A 16,853-nucleotide genomic window follows, 5' to 3' on the forward strand; every position below is an offset into this window, starting at 1 on the left:
GTCTTCACCACATCCAATGCTCCCTCTCATCACCATGTTTTATTTTCTTTGTAGCCATTATCACGATCTAAAGTAAGAGTATTTGCTGTTTACGTGTTGATTATCTCTTTCGACCCATTAGAATGCTGGTTCCCTGAGGTCTGGCATCTCGTTTGTTTTGTTTCCTTCTGTGTCTCTGAAATAGAGCCAAGAACTCAACAGCATCCTTGTACAAAACACAGCCCCCAGCATCTTTTGTCCTGGTGTTTCAGAGCCCACCTTCAGAACTTATGACTTTGGTTTTCCCTGCGTTATCAGTATATGAAATAAGGAAAATTTGTCTTCCTCAGCTAAAGTCTTTTGTGAGATGACTTGAAACCAGTGAGGATTAAGAGGGTATCAGGAAATGCAGAGAGAGGTAGTGAAAGGGGAGACGAGAGAGAAACAAAAGGATCTCAATTGTGCTGAGGTTTGGCCAGGCCAGGAGGGATCAAGTAACACCAAATAGCCTTTGTTAAAATAACAGAAACTTTGACAAATTAAGACGGAACTGCCTCAGACTGAGTTATGGGGCCTTCTAGACTCAAAACCACCTACCCTTGCAAAGTGGTGCAGTGTGGATCCTGTTTCAGCTTGGGATAAGGTGCTCATATGGGAGATCCTGTTTCAGCTTGGGATAAGGTGCATTGCTCTGGCAATGCAGAGTTGAGATGAGGAAGACTCTGGGTTCGCCTATAAGAAGTCAACACCAAGGACATTTTTACCAAATGGAAAGGGCGAGTTACAGGCATTTATAGCTTATTTATTTCTGAAAGTCTCTAGAATTTTAAAGAGGATTACTGCCCCAAAGCTAATTCCTTCAGATATTTGTGTCATTCCTAACAATCACTATCTCTTCATTCTCCATGTCTTGGAGAGTCTCTTCTGTCAACACAAAGCTCCTCTGAGTAAGGGGGTATAAAAATCTCCAGCAAGGGTCAGGATGAAATAGGCTTGGTGGCCCTAGGCTAGAAGATAGTACATGACCAAAGAACTAGTTAGGAGGCCTCTTTGCTTTCATCATAACTATCATTATTTTTCAGGTTCACTGCCTCTTCCTCCAAATCTACACACAGATTATTGCATTATTACTGTTACTATTTTCCCAGACATTCGGCACCTATCAAGGTTTTTCATTTTGTCTATTCCCTGGGCTTGTGTGTGTGCTGTCTGTCTCCGTGGCTGCTTCTGTGGCGCTATGACAGTATTAATATGACAAAGAGTTGGTCAAATAGAAATTATGTAAGGAGTCTCATTGTAATTCAGACACTTAATTTCCACTTAGCAGGAGATGCAGCCCTTGATGACTCACAGGTCGCGATCCTCATTCTCCTTCCTGGGTCACTCGTGTTTTTGGGTCTGTGGATAGACTGGCCCTTTCTCCTCTCAAGTGCTGTAGCTCTTTACAAGCCTACAAATTCAAGACTTTTGAAAAACATTGATAACATCCTTTTGGGAGAGTGATGGGTGAAGATCCCCAGAGAAGGAAACTCTGTGCAATCATTAGTATCCAGAGGCCACTGTTGATGTGTAACTAAAGTTCAAGAAAATAATCAAGGTATGCCAGAGTCGTGGTAGATGGGTACCTTGCAATAGACTTCTCCGTTACCACTGGTATCCCTTCCCCCATCCCAGCGTACCCTCCTCATGATTGTCACTTTAGGAGACTAGGAATATTGCAAAATAAACATCTGGAAATGTTGATAGTAAACATAGAAGAGAAATGTCTTGCAAAACTAGCCACAGGTCAGGAAACCCTAATCTTATCATGGGTCCTGGAGACCATAATGCCATAGACTGTTCAGATGGGTGTTATGTTACTGTGAACACAGATGTTTTCTTTCCATCCATTGTGGGCATCCTGTTTTGGAAAAGTCACTATAGCCAATGTCTAAAGGCTTGATCACTTTAGGACAGATTACTAAATACTTTTTATCTTAAAATAGAAGAGGGGAAAGGAAATCACAGCTCCTTTAGAGCATGGACAGCAGAGACATATGAATGTATTTATATATTTTTTTCATTTACGTTATCAACTTAATTAATTTATTTATAAAATTTCCATGACCATAGGATGACCACGTAGAAGTGTGGACTATGGATCACTAGCATCAAAATCTCTGGGGAGTTTTGCTTAAAAATACATATTCTGTCATAGCACCACAGAAATAAGGCCCCACCTTGACCTATATAATCTCCAAGGTAATACCTGGAGACCTACGTTTTAATCTATTCCCCAGACATTCTCAGGCACACCACATCTGAGAACCACTGACTGATGTTTGCTGGTTGGAGTGCCAGGCCAAGGGTCAGCCTTCAAGGGATTGAGATTCATGTCTTCGTGCCTGCTTTTCTTTACCTGTAAAAGAGCATAGCTTGAAGTTTAATACAAAGTGAGCATACTTTTTCTCTTGGGGGTTTTTAACCTGGGGTCCATGGTTAAAAGGAGGAGTCAGAGTGTTCATTAGATTTTTCAAGGAGGATTATTGCCCAAGAAAAGTATATTCTAACACCAGCTTAAATGCATGCTTTCCAGTTTGGGTGGGTGCTAAAAGAAAGGAATTGGCCGAGTGTGGTGGCACATACCTGTACTGTAGTTCCAGCTACGTGGGAGGCTGACGTGGGAATATAACTTGAGCTCAGGAGTTTGAGGCTACAGAGAGCTATGATTGTGCCTGTGAACAGCCACTTCACTCCAGCCTGGGCAATGCAGTGAGACCCCATCTCTAAAAATGAAAGAAAGAGAGAAAGAGAGAGAGAAAGAAAGGGCACTGGGATTGGCCCAGACAGTGCATGAATCTCACTTTCCTTCCCATTTCTATTAATAAAGGAAGAATTTTCAACTTTGTAAGAAATAAGAAATTTAGAATCTTTTTACTCCTAAATCTATAGAACACCTTGGACATCATAATATCTACTTTTCCTCTTGTAAGAATGGAAAAGAGGCTGGGTGCAGTGGCTCACGCCTGTAATCCCAGAACTTTGGGAGGCCAAGGCGGGTGGATTACTTGAGGTCAGGAGTTCAAGACCAGCCTGGCCCACATGGTGAAACCCCGTCCCTACTAAGAATGCAAAAATTAGCTGGGTGTGGTGGTGTGCGCCTGTAGCCCCAGGCACTTGGGAGGCTGAGGTGGGAGAATTGCTTGAACCCCGGAGGTGGAGGTTGCAGTGAGCCAAGACGGCACCACTACACTCCAGCCTGGGCGACAGAGTGAGACTCTGCTCAAAAAAAATAAAAATAAAAATAAAAATAAAAGGAAAATACAAGCCTGCATTATTTATAAATCATATAGTACTCCATGTCTAGAAAAATCAAAACTTATACCAAAGCATTTAAAAGAGTCACTATGATCATTTTATTAAAGTTTAGAGATGAATTTTACCATAAAGCAGGATTAACTGCACCTTTCTCTCCAGGATTCTGGTGTAAATAGAGAAACCACAGTCATGTATGGGCCTGAGAGGGACAGTAGAATGTGGAAGTGGGTTTGGAAACCAAAATATTATGTCAGCAGTTTTCTCTTTCATTTATTCACCCTTATCAAAACCAACTTTTTAACTCAGGGGCCCAGTTAATAAAAACATAGATAATTTCATTTGGAAGACCCAAGAGCTTCATGTTTGGGGTTTAAAAAAAATTCTTCTCATCCCCTCCGGGCAAAAGTGTTGGAGGGCGAATTCTCCTTGCAGAAACCCTCTTAATAAATCAGTGCTGGTGAACTTCTCTGCTCAGTGTAAGAGAAGGTCAGTTATTAGATAGACACAGAGCTCTACAGCTGGAATCCTTGTGGAAAGAAATGAAACCACAAATACAATTCCTTAGTTTAAGCTTGCCTTTTTATTTCTAATACCTTCAAAACCTCTTCAAACTCATTTTTACTTTTGTAGTTCTTTTTTTTTTTTTTTTTCATTTAAGCATGTTTTAACAATGAAAACAGCCAGCGGAGTATATTTTCAGGGTTATCCTGCAGATACGTAAGTAATCCTTTTCTGAGGGCCTTTATGTGGAATTGCAAAGTGCTGAGGGGAGACAGAGGGAGAATATTCAGAAAGCAGATACTGCAGTGTTTTGAACTTATCATGTGCAAAGGGACAACATTTTTCCACTGATTATGAAAGTCCCCATGAACTGCTTTTCCAGATAAAAATTCTCAGCAAATGATGGTCAGCTTCTGGCAGCCCCAAGTTTTCCTCTCTGTGAAATGGGGAGACCCACCAGGGCAGCCTTGGAAACCAGTGGCTTAGGGGTTCCAGGAAAGAGGCAGGCATTTACTTTGCAAGTTTGGCTCAGAGTGTGGGCCCTGATGAGATTTCAGGGTGTAAAAGGGAGGGGACGAAGACCAGGTGAGCAGTGTAAGGCCTTCTTAGGACCCGAGGGAAGTGGCCTTCTACATTTCTTACTTTTTGATGTTATGCCACAAAAATGCTCTGTTCTTCTCTGCCTCTACTCCAACCCTCATCCCTTGGAAAATCTTCCTGGTCAGAATCATGATGTTCCTAAGATGGTTGTCTTCCCACATTGCCTCTCCTGATTCCAGGGCCGGTAACAGTGCTTGCTTCTGGACACATGGATTAACCCAGGTCATGAGGAACACCTGGATTATAAAAGGTGTTAGTGTATCAGTACAAAACAGCGAATGGTCGCATTCCCAACTTTGGTATCAGACAACTTTTAGTTCAGCTCTCAGCTCACAGTGGCTAATTGAGAAGAAGGAAAGGCTGATGAAAGCTGACACTAAGGAAGAGTCTAGTCTGTTGCAGGCATCATTCTCCATCTCCCCAAAGAGCCAGGCAGGCCCAGAGCTTCACCTGATATTTTTCTACTAACCCTACCCATGCTCATGAGTACACAGAGTAGAAAATTATCTCCAAACGAGGCTGGGACTAAGGGGCACAAATGAGCCCCCTATGGCTCAACATTTAAGGGGGCAATTATTCTCAGGGTTGGACAATTGCAGACCTGCACCTGAGAGTGAGTACCTCCTTAAATTTTGCACCCTAGGCACCTCACTTGCTTCAACCTGGACTGGTCCAGTCACCACCCTTGGTCAAAGGGGAAAGTAGGAATTTGGTTGATAATCTCCTTTAACCAAGGTTCCCCACAGAGCCTCCAGGAAAGGCCTCTTTCTTGGACATCATCAGTTGGGTTGTCCACCTCTCCCAAGCATAACTGCTCTGAGCCAGTCTTGATCAGCTACTATGCCTTGTCTTGGCTCCACTCAACACCAGAACATGAATCAGTGTAGTTAGTCTGACAACATCATTAGGCTCCAATCCCGTATAAACTTTTACCCACAAAAGTTTGGACCTCCTTGGCCGAGCACTATGGCTCACACCTGTAATCCCAGCACTTTGGAAGGCCAAGCTGGGAAGATCACTTGGGTCCAAGAGTTCAAGACCAGCCCAGGCAACATAGGGAGACTTTGTCTCTACAAAATGTAAACAAAATTAGCCAAGCATGGTGGTGCACACCTGTAGTTCCAGCTACTCAGAAGGCCGAGGTGGGGGAATCATTTGAGCCCAGGAGGTCAAGGCTACAGTGAACTGAAATCATGCCACTGCACTCCAGCCTAGGCAACAGAACAAGACACTGTATCAACCTATCTCAAAAAAAAAAAAAAAAAATTGGACCTCCTGTTCCCCCACCATTATTTGAGTTCTTCCTGTAGTGCCCACTCTAGTCATAGAGATTGGTTAGAACTGACATCACCTTTCTTTGGACATGATAAAGTCCTGGTGGCAGTGTCTCCTTTTTTAGGGCACCTCAACAACTGTGCAAGAAGTCCCAACAGGAGAATATTTAGCTGCTCTCACCTCAAGTTCCAATTTCCCTGGGTGCCTCATGTAGGAAGCTGGTGACAATAGTCTAGGATCAGCTGCTCTGACATCCACCACAGAGTGCTCATTCTGCCATCCCTGCTGTGGGGGTCCAAAAAAAGGGAGCAAGAGGAATCTGAGGCCCTCCAGGGAGAAAAGGTATAGTGTAGGGATGGAGAAGGCTGACTAGTAGATTTCCTAGGATTTTCTTATTATAGGTTTTCTAGATGCTTCAGATCTTTAGGAAGCTGCATAAAAAGTGTGAGCAATAATACAAACAGGAAAAAGAACTTTCAGGAGGCAACATATTCAGGGAAGACCGAGCAGCCTGTGTTGCCGCTAGTTCAGGCTCAGTTACATTTCTTTTTCTTTAATTAATTTATTACTATTATTATCATTATCATTATTAGAGACAGAATCTTGCTCTGTCTCCCAGCCTGGAGTGCAGTGGTGCGATCATGCCTCACTGTAGTCTTGAACTCCTGGGCTCAAGTGATCCTCCACCTCAGCCCCAGTAGCAGGACTATAGATGTATGCCACCACGCCCAGTCCCAGTCACATTTCTTAGGGACCTACTATGTATGGGCCAGGTGCTAGGTGCTAGGGAAATGAAGATGTATAGCACAGTCTCTGCCCTGGAGAAGCAAATGGCTGCTGAAGAAGACAAGCATGAAGAGATCCTCTCCATAGCTGGCTTATTGCTGGGATACAATCTGCTTCAGGACGCCAAAGGAGCACAGAGTAATGGCCACCCTTATCCCAGTCTGGTAGCCCAGCAAGGAGACCATGGAAAAGATAATGCCTGAGCTGAGGATTGTATTCATTCATTCACTCATTCATTTATTCAACAAATATTCCAGGAGTGTCAACGGTCTTTCAGACATTGGTTTAGGTTTAAGTGGTACAATGACTTGCACATTTTAAGAAGTTAGAGAAAAAACACTATAGGAAGCAGAATTGATGACAATATTTTAGGGCTAATCAAATGGCTCTTGTGACCTCTTAATATCCACCCCCAAAGGTTTCCTGATGCCTCCACCATTATAAATTCATTCCTTTGTTTGAGACACATTCAGCATTGCCACATCCGTGAATTACAAATAGGTTTTGACACAGGAAAGGCCAGTGAATTGCCTAAGGGTACTTAGTGCCAGGGTTGGGGTATAGGAGGTGCAGTAGTTACACGACAGGAGTCACCAAGGGCAGATCACTCCCTTGTCTTCTCTCTGGGAGCACCTGGAGCTGACTTCAGCAGGGCTGACAATTTAAGCCAGTGAATCCTGCCTGCACATGGTTCAGGATGCATGCTGCACCAGGTCACCTAGGCGGCCCCTCATCCTCTGTCCACTGTGAAAACACGGGACACCCAGGTCGAAGGGAATGCTGAATGACACCATGTGGGTGTGCAGTGGTCTGTGACCAGAGGGTTCACTGGAAGCAATTTGCAAAGGAGGACTTAGAAAACCACCTGGATGGTTATTGTAAATTAAAAAAGGAAGAGATGCCACTTTTTTCTGAATAATTTTTAATACTAGGTTTATGGCTGGGTACATGTGATAGTCATTACAGCTTATTTAACTCTGAAATTATCTGGCCCCTCAAACTCCACCGGGACTGTAGAAATCTTGGGTTAAATTTTAAAAACAACATTTGAAAGAAGATGATATACTTTTCCTTGAGGAGAATAAATTCAAACCTAAAAGTGGGGGGGGGGGGAAACCCCAGCTCTCTCTAGGAAGGATCTCCATTGTTTCTCATATTTGCTATGTTTCTCATAACGTGTTTGAGCTCAGAAATTCACCCAGGCACACAAAAGGTCTACTCTAGTTGGCTGTTGAGCCCCTCCATCCCTGCAATCCAAGTTGTGCCTTTTCTATTGGGTTATTTGGAAAGAGTCCAAAAGCATTCTGAACTCTGAGCTCAAATCTCAAAGGTTTCCACTTCTTCGGAGCCGAACATTTCATCAGGGGCTGGGAGTGTGTGAGTGAGTTACACCGAACAGCTGCGCGGTACCCACCACCCTCTCCCCAAGGATGACACGCTCTGCAAAGGAGGGTGTTGTAAGCATTCCTGAGCAAGCCAGCTAATCTGGAGACCTAGCCTGTTGGCCGGGGGCTACTTCTAAGAAGCCTCCCTCTGGAATTACAGCATCTTATGACTTCTATCTACGAAGCCCCCCTTCTTCAGAGGAGCAGCTAGGACATGGGGTAGGGGAGAAGGCCAAATGGGTGAAAAAGGAATCTCTTGAGTCAGAGGGGCATTTCTTTTTGGGAACAGGATCTTGTCTCTCTTTAGCTGCTCACAGGAAGGAAAATGGGAAAGTAGGGCTTCTTTTCAAGTGGGGAGGCACCCAGCAGCCAGTGGAATGCCTGATTTGGAAGGGGCAGGAGGGAATAGTTATGTCCCGAACAACAAGTGCAAATGTAAATATGCAGACCTTTGAACTCTGAAATTGATTTCAATTCAGGCCAGCACTCCAAAGTTGTTTTATTGGGATGTCGAAGTGTTCTGGCACGTTGGTGGCTTAACGGCGTCATCATCAGACCCAGACATTTCTGGGTCCTTGGCATTTGTCTGGGTTTTAGAAACACTGTACCCATTGGCGATGTCACTCCCTGATCAGAGGCACACTGGCCACCTTCAAACCTCTTGTTCTCTTACTCCTCCTGGCAGAAGCAATGATGCTGGCGGGTCTCATCTGAGATCCGTGCCCGGCATTGGCTGAAGCTATCATCTCCTTTGTTACTTCCCAAGCAAGGCACAGGAAAGCCATCTTTACATCACCTCTATTTAAAGCACAGGGTCCCTTTTGCCTATGTCACTGAAAAACAGCAGAAGCCTGGTATCTAGTGGATTCACCCCGGCCCTCTAATGTGGTATAAGGAAAATCCTACAGAGAACATTTTCCCATTGAGCTTACAAAAAGATGTAAATTTGGAAAACTCTACCACATATCCATTTTGCACCAAAAATAGTAACATAAATAAAACATTTAAATAAGAAAACTAAAGTGGGGAGGGGAGATTTGGGGGGTAGGGAAGGGAAAGTGAAAGTCCATAGCTTGATATTAACCAAGATGGTCAATGGCTCATTTAAAAAGGAAAAAGTAGCTTATGCAAAATCTTGCCAACCTGCCTTGAAGTGTAAAGGCTTGTAGAAGTTATTGAAAATTTTGTTTTATTTATTCCCCTTAGCAGAAGAAAAATCAATGTCTGCTTGGCAAGTCAGACGTAAATGAGTTATACAGGCCACTGACATGGTGGACCAAACTTTATAACAACCACATTTGCCGCTGTCAGGCCACAGGCTTCAGTGGCGCCAGCTGTAATTATGGCTGATCACCTCTAATTCAGAGCTGCCTGCCTTGATAAAGGTGTCACTCGGAGCTACTGTGGCATCAGCATCAATTGAGGATGTCAAGCCAAAGGGCAGCTTGCTGGAGAAAGCACTTCCCCACCCCAACCCCCAGGGTCCTGGAGACCCTTGGGCAAATATTGCTTTTTAACTCTTCACCCTGAGTACGGCAACACTCCCTGAAGCTGTGATTTAAATTCCAGGGGATTCAGATGAATATCCCTGACCTCCATCAGTGGACGTCTTTAATAAGCTGAGAGATTTCTCCAAAAACACAGTTTAGAAGTCAAGATCCTCTGTGCTTTGCAACGTGCAGAGACAATGTTTGTCTTATCTACCTGATTCATTGGCCACAAAAGGCATTAGGGGCAATAGACTGTAGCACAAGCCATGGTCATTTTTGGAAAAGGAAAAAAAAATTGCAGCTTCATGCCTTTCTTCTGCTTTTGTGGTATTTAAAAAAAATTCTAGCGAACTTCCCATTTTCATGTTACTTTTTTCTTTTTGAAGGAAACATGAAGTGTGGGGAGAAATAGCAAAACGGAGAGATGATGGGGTTAAAAAGCCCTGCTAATAGAGTAGTGTCTGGACTGTTGTCATTGTCGTGGTGGAGCCCTGAGTGGGGAGGTGTGAAGTGAGGGGTAGAATTCAGCCATTAAAAAGGCTTCACTGTCATTTGTGAAGGATCATGCTTGACTGCCCCCACCTCCCCAGGCTGTTTTTCCTCACTCTGTAATTAAAAAAGAGACACACATACTGTCTGTTCTCCTCTTTAAAGTCACAGACGGCCCCACCCACACCAGCACCCCCTCCAGCGAGTTGAGTTGTGGGGGCACAGCCTGTCTTTCATTTTAAGGGAGAACTTGTCTTCCTTCCCTCTCCTTTGGAAGGTTCACCTGAGGGTGGAGTGCTAATCTCAGAAAGGCAAGTTTTGTGTTTTGTGGCTGGGGTCTTTTTCCTTTAGCACCTGACAGGGTGACCCATAGGGGCCAAGGGAGAAGTGACTGTGATTTCACAGCCCTTGGTGGCTCCAGACACGGGCACGTGTTTGGACCAGAAGTGGTTTTGCCCTCGCTGACAGGGAGGTCAGATGCGAGAAGTCTCCGGAGGGCTGGTGGTTGGCATTCAGCAACAGAAAATCCCATCCAGCTCCAGGAAAAAAGGGCCCTGGGCGATGGAAACCCTGTCACCTGGTTCTGAACCAAAGCCCAAGCTGCTAACTGAGGTTAGTTTTTCACACTCAGACCTTCCAACCTGCCATCTTTCACTCCCTGCTTCCCCATCTCTACACGTGTCTTGATGTTATTTCCCTTTCTCCAAACACAGGGCACTCTTTTTTTTTTTTTTTTTTAACCAGTATTTTTTTTTTGTTTCCAGCAGAACCAGCTGACCCCTGCCTGCAGAACTCCGGGTCCCTCTTGGAGCTCTCTGATGGCAGCTGTAGGGCCATCCCCAGCGGCACTGTTTCCCCCTTTGTTTACCCGTTTCTAAGGGCAAGTGCACCACGAAGGCTCTCCGAGCCTGGAACTCAGCCTGGGGCTGTTTTGGTTACATTGAAGTTTTTGCTTCAGTTCTGCCAGATTTAAGTGGTGACTTCACTAGCACTGAGCTAAAAAGGAGAAGGGGGAGGAGGGCGAGACCAGGAGAAAGAGAGCAAGTGAGCGAGAGCCCAGCCGGAGGGAGAGCCAGAGCTAGGCGCAAAAGAAGGGCCAGCACATTACATCATCGCTTGGCCTGGAATCAAATGGGAAGGATATGACTCACTCAAGCTAGTTAAGCTTTGGCTCAAATTCTACACACACTCATTCCAGAGCTCTCATGTTCTGCACCTCAGGAGGGAATTCAGCCTCAGTGATGTCCATGAGGTTTGTTTTTAATTTTATTTTCTTTTCTCCTGATTTTATAGATTTTTTTTGCCCCTACTGCCTTCTGTTTTTGAGCCTTCGTCCTCCTCCTCCTCCTCTTCATTTTCTCCCCCTTCTCCCTTTCTGCCCGTCTTTGTTTCTCCTCTTCTTCCTTCTCCTCTTTCCCCAGCCCCTCCGCTCCTCTTCTTGCCCGAAGAGGCATTTCTTTTCACTTCGATCAGAGTTTTTGTTCTAGCACAGAGACCTGAATGAGTTGAACAGAGGCCGGGTTGGAGGAAAAAAGAAAAAAAAAAAAAAGCAGAGCAAACCAAAGCAACCAGAGCAAAAGGGCCACAAATAAAGAGCGAAGCGAGAAAGAGCAAACTCGGGCGAAGTTTCTTTGCTGCGGTGTCGCTCCTAATCGGAGGAGACAGGGAGAGAGTTAAAATGCAGGAACCAATCGCTTGAATGGTGATGTAATGCAAGAACCGAAGGGTAGTTAAGTAATGTGAGAGCGAGGGGGTCAGGGTTGCAAAGCATTTACCTGCTCTCAAGGGGTTTTCAGTTTATTATCAATTGCAGTGACTGTAACCGGCTTCAGACTGCAATCTCTAATTATTCACAGACGCTCCTTTTTTATCTTTTATTATTAAAAGTAAAACTATATTATGGTATTTTAAAATAACACGATATTATCACAGCTGTGTATTATTTTCTGCCAGGATTCTCTCTCTCTGTTTTTTAAATGGCTTAAAACTGTTGTCTTTTCATAAAAGGTGGAAGTGATGGTGTGGTGGTTGGTTGGGGGGTTGGGGGGGCGATTTTTGAGTGTAACTGGTGAATTGTAAATGACTGGAAAACTGTGTGTTGTATGAAAAGTGAATGATTGTGCTGTTCCATTTATTATTAAGAATATACTGCAGCTTTTAAAAGTAATAGATGATGATCCTCAAAAGTAGTTATAGCCTTTCCCCTATTATTTCAGTGAAGGTTAACAGCAATTGTGCATTTGCTTGAGCATGTTGACATTCTGTTGTTCCACGTGCTAATTAATCCGGTGCTATCTTTAAGACTTTTATGTTCTTGAATTAATTTTTTAGATGATATGCTTCAGTAGTGAGGGGGCGATGATGAAGACTTCTTGATTGAGTTGTCTTAGAAACAGTTAATATTTCAGAGTAAGAAATTAACAGGAAATACAGGGAGAGGGGGCAAAGGATTGTGTTCTTAATGTTTTAAGGATCTCGTGTACTCAGAGAGAGAGACTTTGATGTTTTGAAAATTATTACCACATTTCTGTTTCATAGAATAGATTTCGTATTGTGATATGCTGCCTGAGTTGGGTGCTTTCTGACACCATCCGGCATTACTAGATAGTAATAAACTGAAACCCACTAAAACAAGAGGGCAAACACTTTCTCATTCTGGGAACTTCAAAACTTCTCTTGGGCTTATTTAGACGTGATCATCCTACAGCTGGATGCATATTGAGGCATGCGGCACATACCAGAAAGGTGTCTATTTATTTAACGCATGTTTTGGATATCATTCATTATGACTTTATGGATCTTCTCTCTTTCCTCCTTTTTTGGGCAGAGGTGGAAGTGGGGAGCAGAGGGGAGAAGTAATTTTTGGAGGAAGTAGCATGATGTGTGAGGAGGCCTGAGTGTTGATTCTGATGCTTGACCTTGAGCAAATCACTTAAACCATCTGGGCACTACTCTAAAGAGCAGGAAAGGGCAAGGTGGGCTAGAAGCTCCTCCCCGCATGGGGAACCAATCTTAGATGATCTCTGGAGTCTCTTTCCACTCGAAAGTTCTATGTTTATATCCATGTTCTATACAAAAGTTTGCTACAGAGTATTTAGCATAGCTTTTCAGAGAAAAGTACATTTGAAATTCAGGATGAATTAGTACTTGAAATGAATGGGGGAGGATGGACAGGAGTATATCTTTCCCCACTTTGAAGTTTGATCTTTATTTGTTTACTTCTTGCTTTTTGGCAAAAAAACAAACATGGTAAACTTTTTAGTTTTCAAATGCTACCTTTGAGGAGACCTCAATGAGATAAATTACCTAGGTGAGACTGCCAAAAAGAGTGGCAGAGTAGACAAGGGGGAGAATTCACCTGCCCAGAAACTTTTCTAAAAGATCCCGCACATCCTTCAGATTCATGAAATGGTGCCAAAAATGCAGCAGACACAGACCCTTGTGCTTCAGTTGCTCACATGGAGCAGAACAGTATTTTCAATGAATTTATTCCCCCAAAGATTGCATGACTACTTGATAAGTTTCTGTATTTTTAACATAAACTCAAGTTTTTAAAGGAGATTTAAGGCTACATTTGAAAACCTTCAAAGATCATGAAAAGCAAAACCGTATGTGCTTGTTAGATAATTTTCCAGACAATACTCCTATTCTTCAGGCAAATTCCAGGGTAGTAGCCTTATTATAAAGTATATATTTATGTATCCGGGGTAGTAGCCTTATTGTAAAGTATGTAGTTATGTACTTATGGCCCAGCTCAATTGCGCACAGGGAAGGACCTTAACTATGCCTATCTGTGGGAAGAAATTACCCAGAGCTAAAATGAAACCAGTGGTGAAGATTATTAGTCATTGTGCATAGTTTGATGAGTGCCAAGTGTATGCTTGGGACTCTTCAGGAATAAAGAGGGCATGATTTCTTTTTTTAGAGCATTACAATTTATGTCGACTTGGCTCCGAATTGTTCACTCATATTCAGTAATGCTCTGCTTGTGACTGACAGAGACAAGGCCAGGAGCACTAGCCTGGCTGTGGCCTCTCCATGCCGGCTGTGATACCAGGTTGCACTTACATGATCTCAGCTCATTACACTTACCCACGGTAACCCAGAGGGCTAAAAATTATTAATTCCACTGTTTGACGACTATTTTGTTCTGTTTCATGGTTTTTGTTTTGATTTTTGGTTTTTAATTAAAAATTTTTATTCAGATAAGTATACATTTACATGCATTCATAAGAAATAATATGGAGAGGGCCGAGCGCAGTGGCTCACGCCTGTAATCCCAGCACTTTGGGAGGCCGAGGTGGGTGGGTCAGGAGATCGAGACCATCCTGGCTAAAATGGTGAAACCCCGTCTCTACTAAAAATACAAAAAATTAGCCAGGAGTGATGGCGGACACCTGTAGCCCCAGCTACTCAGGAGGCTGAGGCAGGAGAATGGTGTGAACCTGGGAGGCGGAGCTTGCAGTAAGCCGAGATCGAGCCACTGTACTCCAGCCTGGGCGACAAAGCGAGACTCTGTCTTAATAATAATAATAATAATATGGAGAGATTCCCATGTATTCTTTGCCCAGTTACCCTCAATGGTAACATCTTGCAAAACTGTTGTAGTACATTACTACAATCAAAATATGGACACTGTTACAATCCATTGATCCTGTTCTGCGTTCCTGTATGAACAAGCACATACAGTTTTGCCTTTCATGATTTCTGAAGGTTTTCAAATGCAGCCTTAAATCTCCTTTAAAAACTCAAGTTTATGTTAAAATTATAGAAACTTATCAAGTAGTCATGCAATCTTTGGGGGAATAAATTTATTAAAAATACTGTTCTGCTCCTTGCGAGCAACTGAAGCACAAAAGCCTGTGTCTGCTGCATTTTTGACACCATTTCATGAATCTGAAGGATGTGCAGGATCTCTTAGAAAAGTTTATGGGCTGTGAATTCTCCCATTTTACTTGTATTTGGTGTGTGTGTGTGTGTGTGTGTGTGTGTGTGTGTGTGTTGTTTTTGTCAATGTAAAAACTGAGAGTCAGGCTTACCCAAGTACATATAAGTTCTGGCAATTGGAGTCCAGTTCACTCTAGGTCTAGCTCACCATCACCAACAAACTTTCCATCACCATCCTGACTTGGTAAGGGAAGGGGTCTAATGCCCTTGCCTGTCAGTGGAAGTCATCAAATACCCAGTTGGGGAGTCTTGGTGACAGTGACTGTGTTTTACCTTCCCTTGGACATGGCCTGTCCATGGGCTTTGCCTTCCACAGGGGTCCCTGGGGCTGTGCTCCACAGGTGAGCAGGTGGAGGAGGAGAGATGGCTTTGCTAAGCAACAGAAGAGGCATCAATCTCTTCCCTCTGCCCACCAGACACAGAGCAGAACAGTGCCAGCTGTCCATGCCTAAGCATCACCATAGTCGATGCTGAACTCACATTCTTCCTCCTCGCCCTCACATGTTTCCCTTGGTGAGCCCTTTTACAGCAGGAAGGATGGGGATAATATCAAGCAGGCATTGCCAGTCAGAGAAGCAGGGTGGGGTCTCCTGAAAAGAGCATGGCCTTTGGGGTTATAAAGTCCTGGATTCAATCACTCTTCTACTTACTGGCTGTGTGACTTTGACAAGCCACTTCACCTCACTGTGCCACAGTTCCTACCTTCTCTGTGAATTGTGGATAACCAGACTGACCTCGAGGAGCCATTGCGAGGGGTGGAGATAAGGTTTTAAGGCCCCTGGCACATAGTGGGATGGTGGGGAGGAAATCTTGGTGGTTTCTGTTGTTGAGGATTCTGTTGGATAGGATTCTCCTCGCAGCAGTCCCTGCTGCAGGTACGGCCTCCCTGACTCTAACTGGGCTTCTTGTCCCAGCATCACTTAGCCTTCTTCTTTCTCTAGCCTTTCTTCTGTTATGCCTTTTTTTTAAATTCAGGAAATCAAGCAGGTTTGAGATCACACAAGGTCCTAGAAACAGAGAAGTAAAAAGACCATTCTGACTAAAGTGAGGTGAGGATACTAGCGATTAAAATGCCAAATTTCCCATGATCTGGGTGGAGGGAAGGACACAGGACATCACAGTTTGGAAGAAAGGATGCTTACTGCCCTGTGGCACTGTGAACAAGAAAATAAAGTGAGATGGAGGTGAGTGAATTCAGTTATGAGAACTGAATTCTATTCCTAGCTTGAATAAAAGAAGTTTGTAGGCCAGGCGTGGTGACTTGTGCCTGTAATCCCAGCACTTTGGGAGGCCAAGGCAGATGGATCACCTGAGGTCAGGAGTTCAAGAGCAGCCTGGCCAACATGGTGAAACCCTGTCTCTACTAAAACTACAAAACTTAGCCGGGTGTGGTGGCGGGTGCCTGTAATCTCAGCTACTCGGGAAGCTGAGGCTAGAGAATTGCTTGAACCCAGGAGGCAGAGGTTGCATTGAGTAGAGATTGTGCCATTGCACTCCAGCCTGGGTGACAGAGCAAGACTCTGTCTCCAAAAAAAAAAAAAAAAAAAAAGTTTGTATTTGCAATAGCATATGTGTGTTATTCTTATCTTTAGTTGGGTGAAGTTACCATTTAAACTTGCTGCCTCCCTCTCACATATATTTTCTAGTGGTTAAAAAAGGATGTTTTGTAGACTGGAGAGAAAGGGACTTCCAAGGAGGCAAGTGGAAGGGTTAGGATGGCGGGTAGTGGAATTAGACAACATCTCTGGGGTCCAAGAGGCACCTTGAGAGTTCCATGCTGGGATCCCCGAATCTAAGCTGCAAAAGGGCATATGGTGTCTCAAGCTGCTTGAAAGAAGTATTGTCTCAGATTTTACTTAGTAAGCATTGGTCAGGAAGGCCAGGTCAACATTAAGAAGCAGAAATTAGTGTAGACTGAGAATGAGCCCTGTCATGTGCCTGACAGAAAATAGGCTGGGCCAATCTGGAACTCTACTTAAAAAAGAAGCAGCTGTGGCTGGGCGTGGTGGCTCACACCTGTAATCCCAGCACTTTGGGAGGCCGAGGCGAGTGGATTGCCAGAGCTCAGGAGTTTGAAACTAGCCTAGGCAACACGGTGAAACCC

The 16,853-nt window shown here is 43.9% G+C and overlaps 1 protein-coding gene across 13 annotated transcripts in view, besides 4 other annotated features; it reads left to right on the forward strand.

Annotated features, from left to right (window-relative positions):
• Positions 1–16,853, forward strand: part of CREB5 (cAMP responsive element binding protein 5) — a 526,574-nt gene that overhangs the window by 375,823 nt on the left and 133,898 nt on the right. For 2 of the 13 annotated variants that reach the window (NM_001011666.3, XM_047421070.1), the window contains exon 1: positions 10,990–11,054. The exons of the other annotated variants lie outside the window; for them this stretch is intronic. In NM_001011666.3, coding sequence (NP_001011666.1) covers positions 11,008–11,054 — 47 coding nt within the window. In that variant the 5' untranslated portion in view covers positions 10,990–11,007. Of the gene's footprint in view, positions 1–10,989; positions 11,055–16,853 lie in introns of those variants that run through there. 13 annotated transcript variants of the gene reach the window in all.
• Positions 10,010–10,059: an enhancer, noted in NCBI's record as "active region_25798". NCBI's record gives its function as "activates an Ori minimal core promoter by ATAC-STARR-seq in GM12878 lymphoblastoid cells {active_cell/tissue: GM12878}" and the evidence as "EXISTENCE:reporter gene assay evidence [ECO:0000049][PMID:35858748]".
• Positions 10,168–10,337: a silencer, noted in NCBI's record as "fragment chr7:28724928-28725097 (GRCh37/hg19 assembly coordinates)". NCBI's record gives its function as "represses an EF-1alpha promoter that drives an FKBP-Casp9 reporter gene in an ReSE screen in HepG2 liver carcinoma cells {active_cell/tissue: HepG2}" and the evidence as "EXISTENCE:reporter gene assay evidence [ECO:0000049][PMID:32094911]".
• Positions 10,168–10,784: a biological region, named in NCBI's record as "H3K27ac-H3K4me1 hESC enhancer GRCh37_chr7:28725036-28725544".
• Positions 10,276–10,784: an enhancer, noted in NCBI's record as "H3K27ac-H3K4me1 hESC enhancer chr7:28725036-28725544 (GRCh37/hg19 assembly coordinates)". NCBI's record gives its function as "activates a minimal SCP1, AML or CMV promoter by ChIP-STARR-seq in primed H9 embryonic stem cells {active_cell/tissue: H9 hESC(primed)}" and the evidence as "EXISTENCE:reporter gene assay evidence [ECO:0000049][PMID:30033119]".

This window comes from Homo sapiens, chromosome 7, assembly GCF_000001405.40.
Source record: "Homo sapiens chromosome 7, GRCh38.p14 Primary Assembly".
In the NCBI taxonomy this organism is placed as follows: Eukaryota; Metazoa; Chordata; class Mammalia; order Primates; family Hominidae; genus Homo; species Homo sapiens.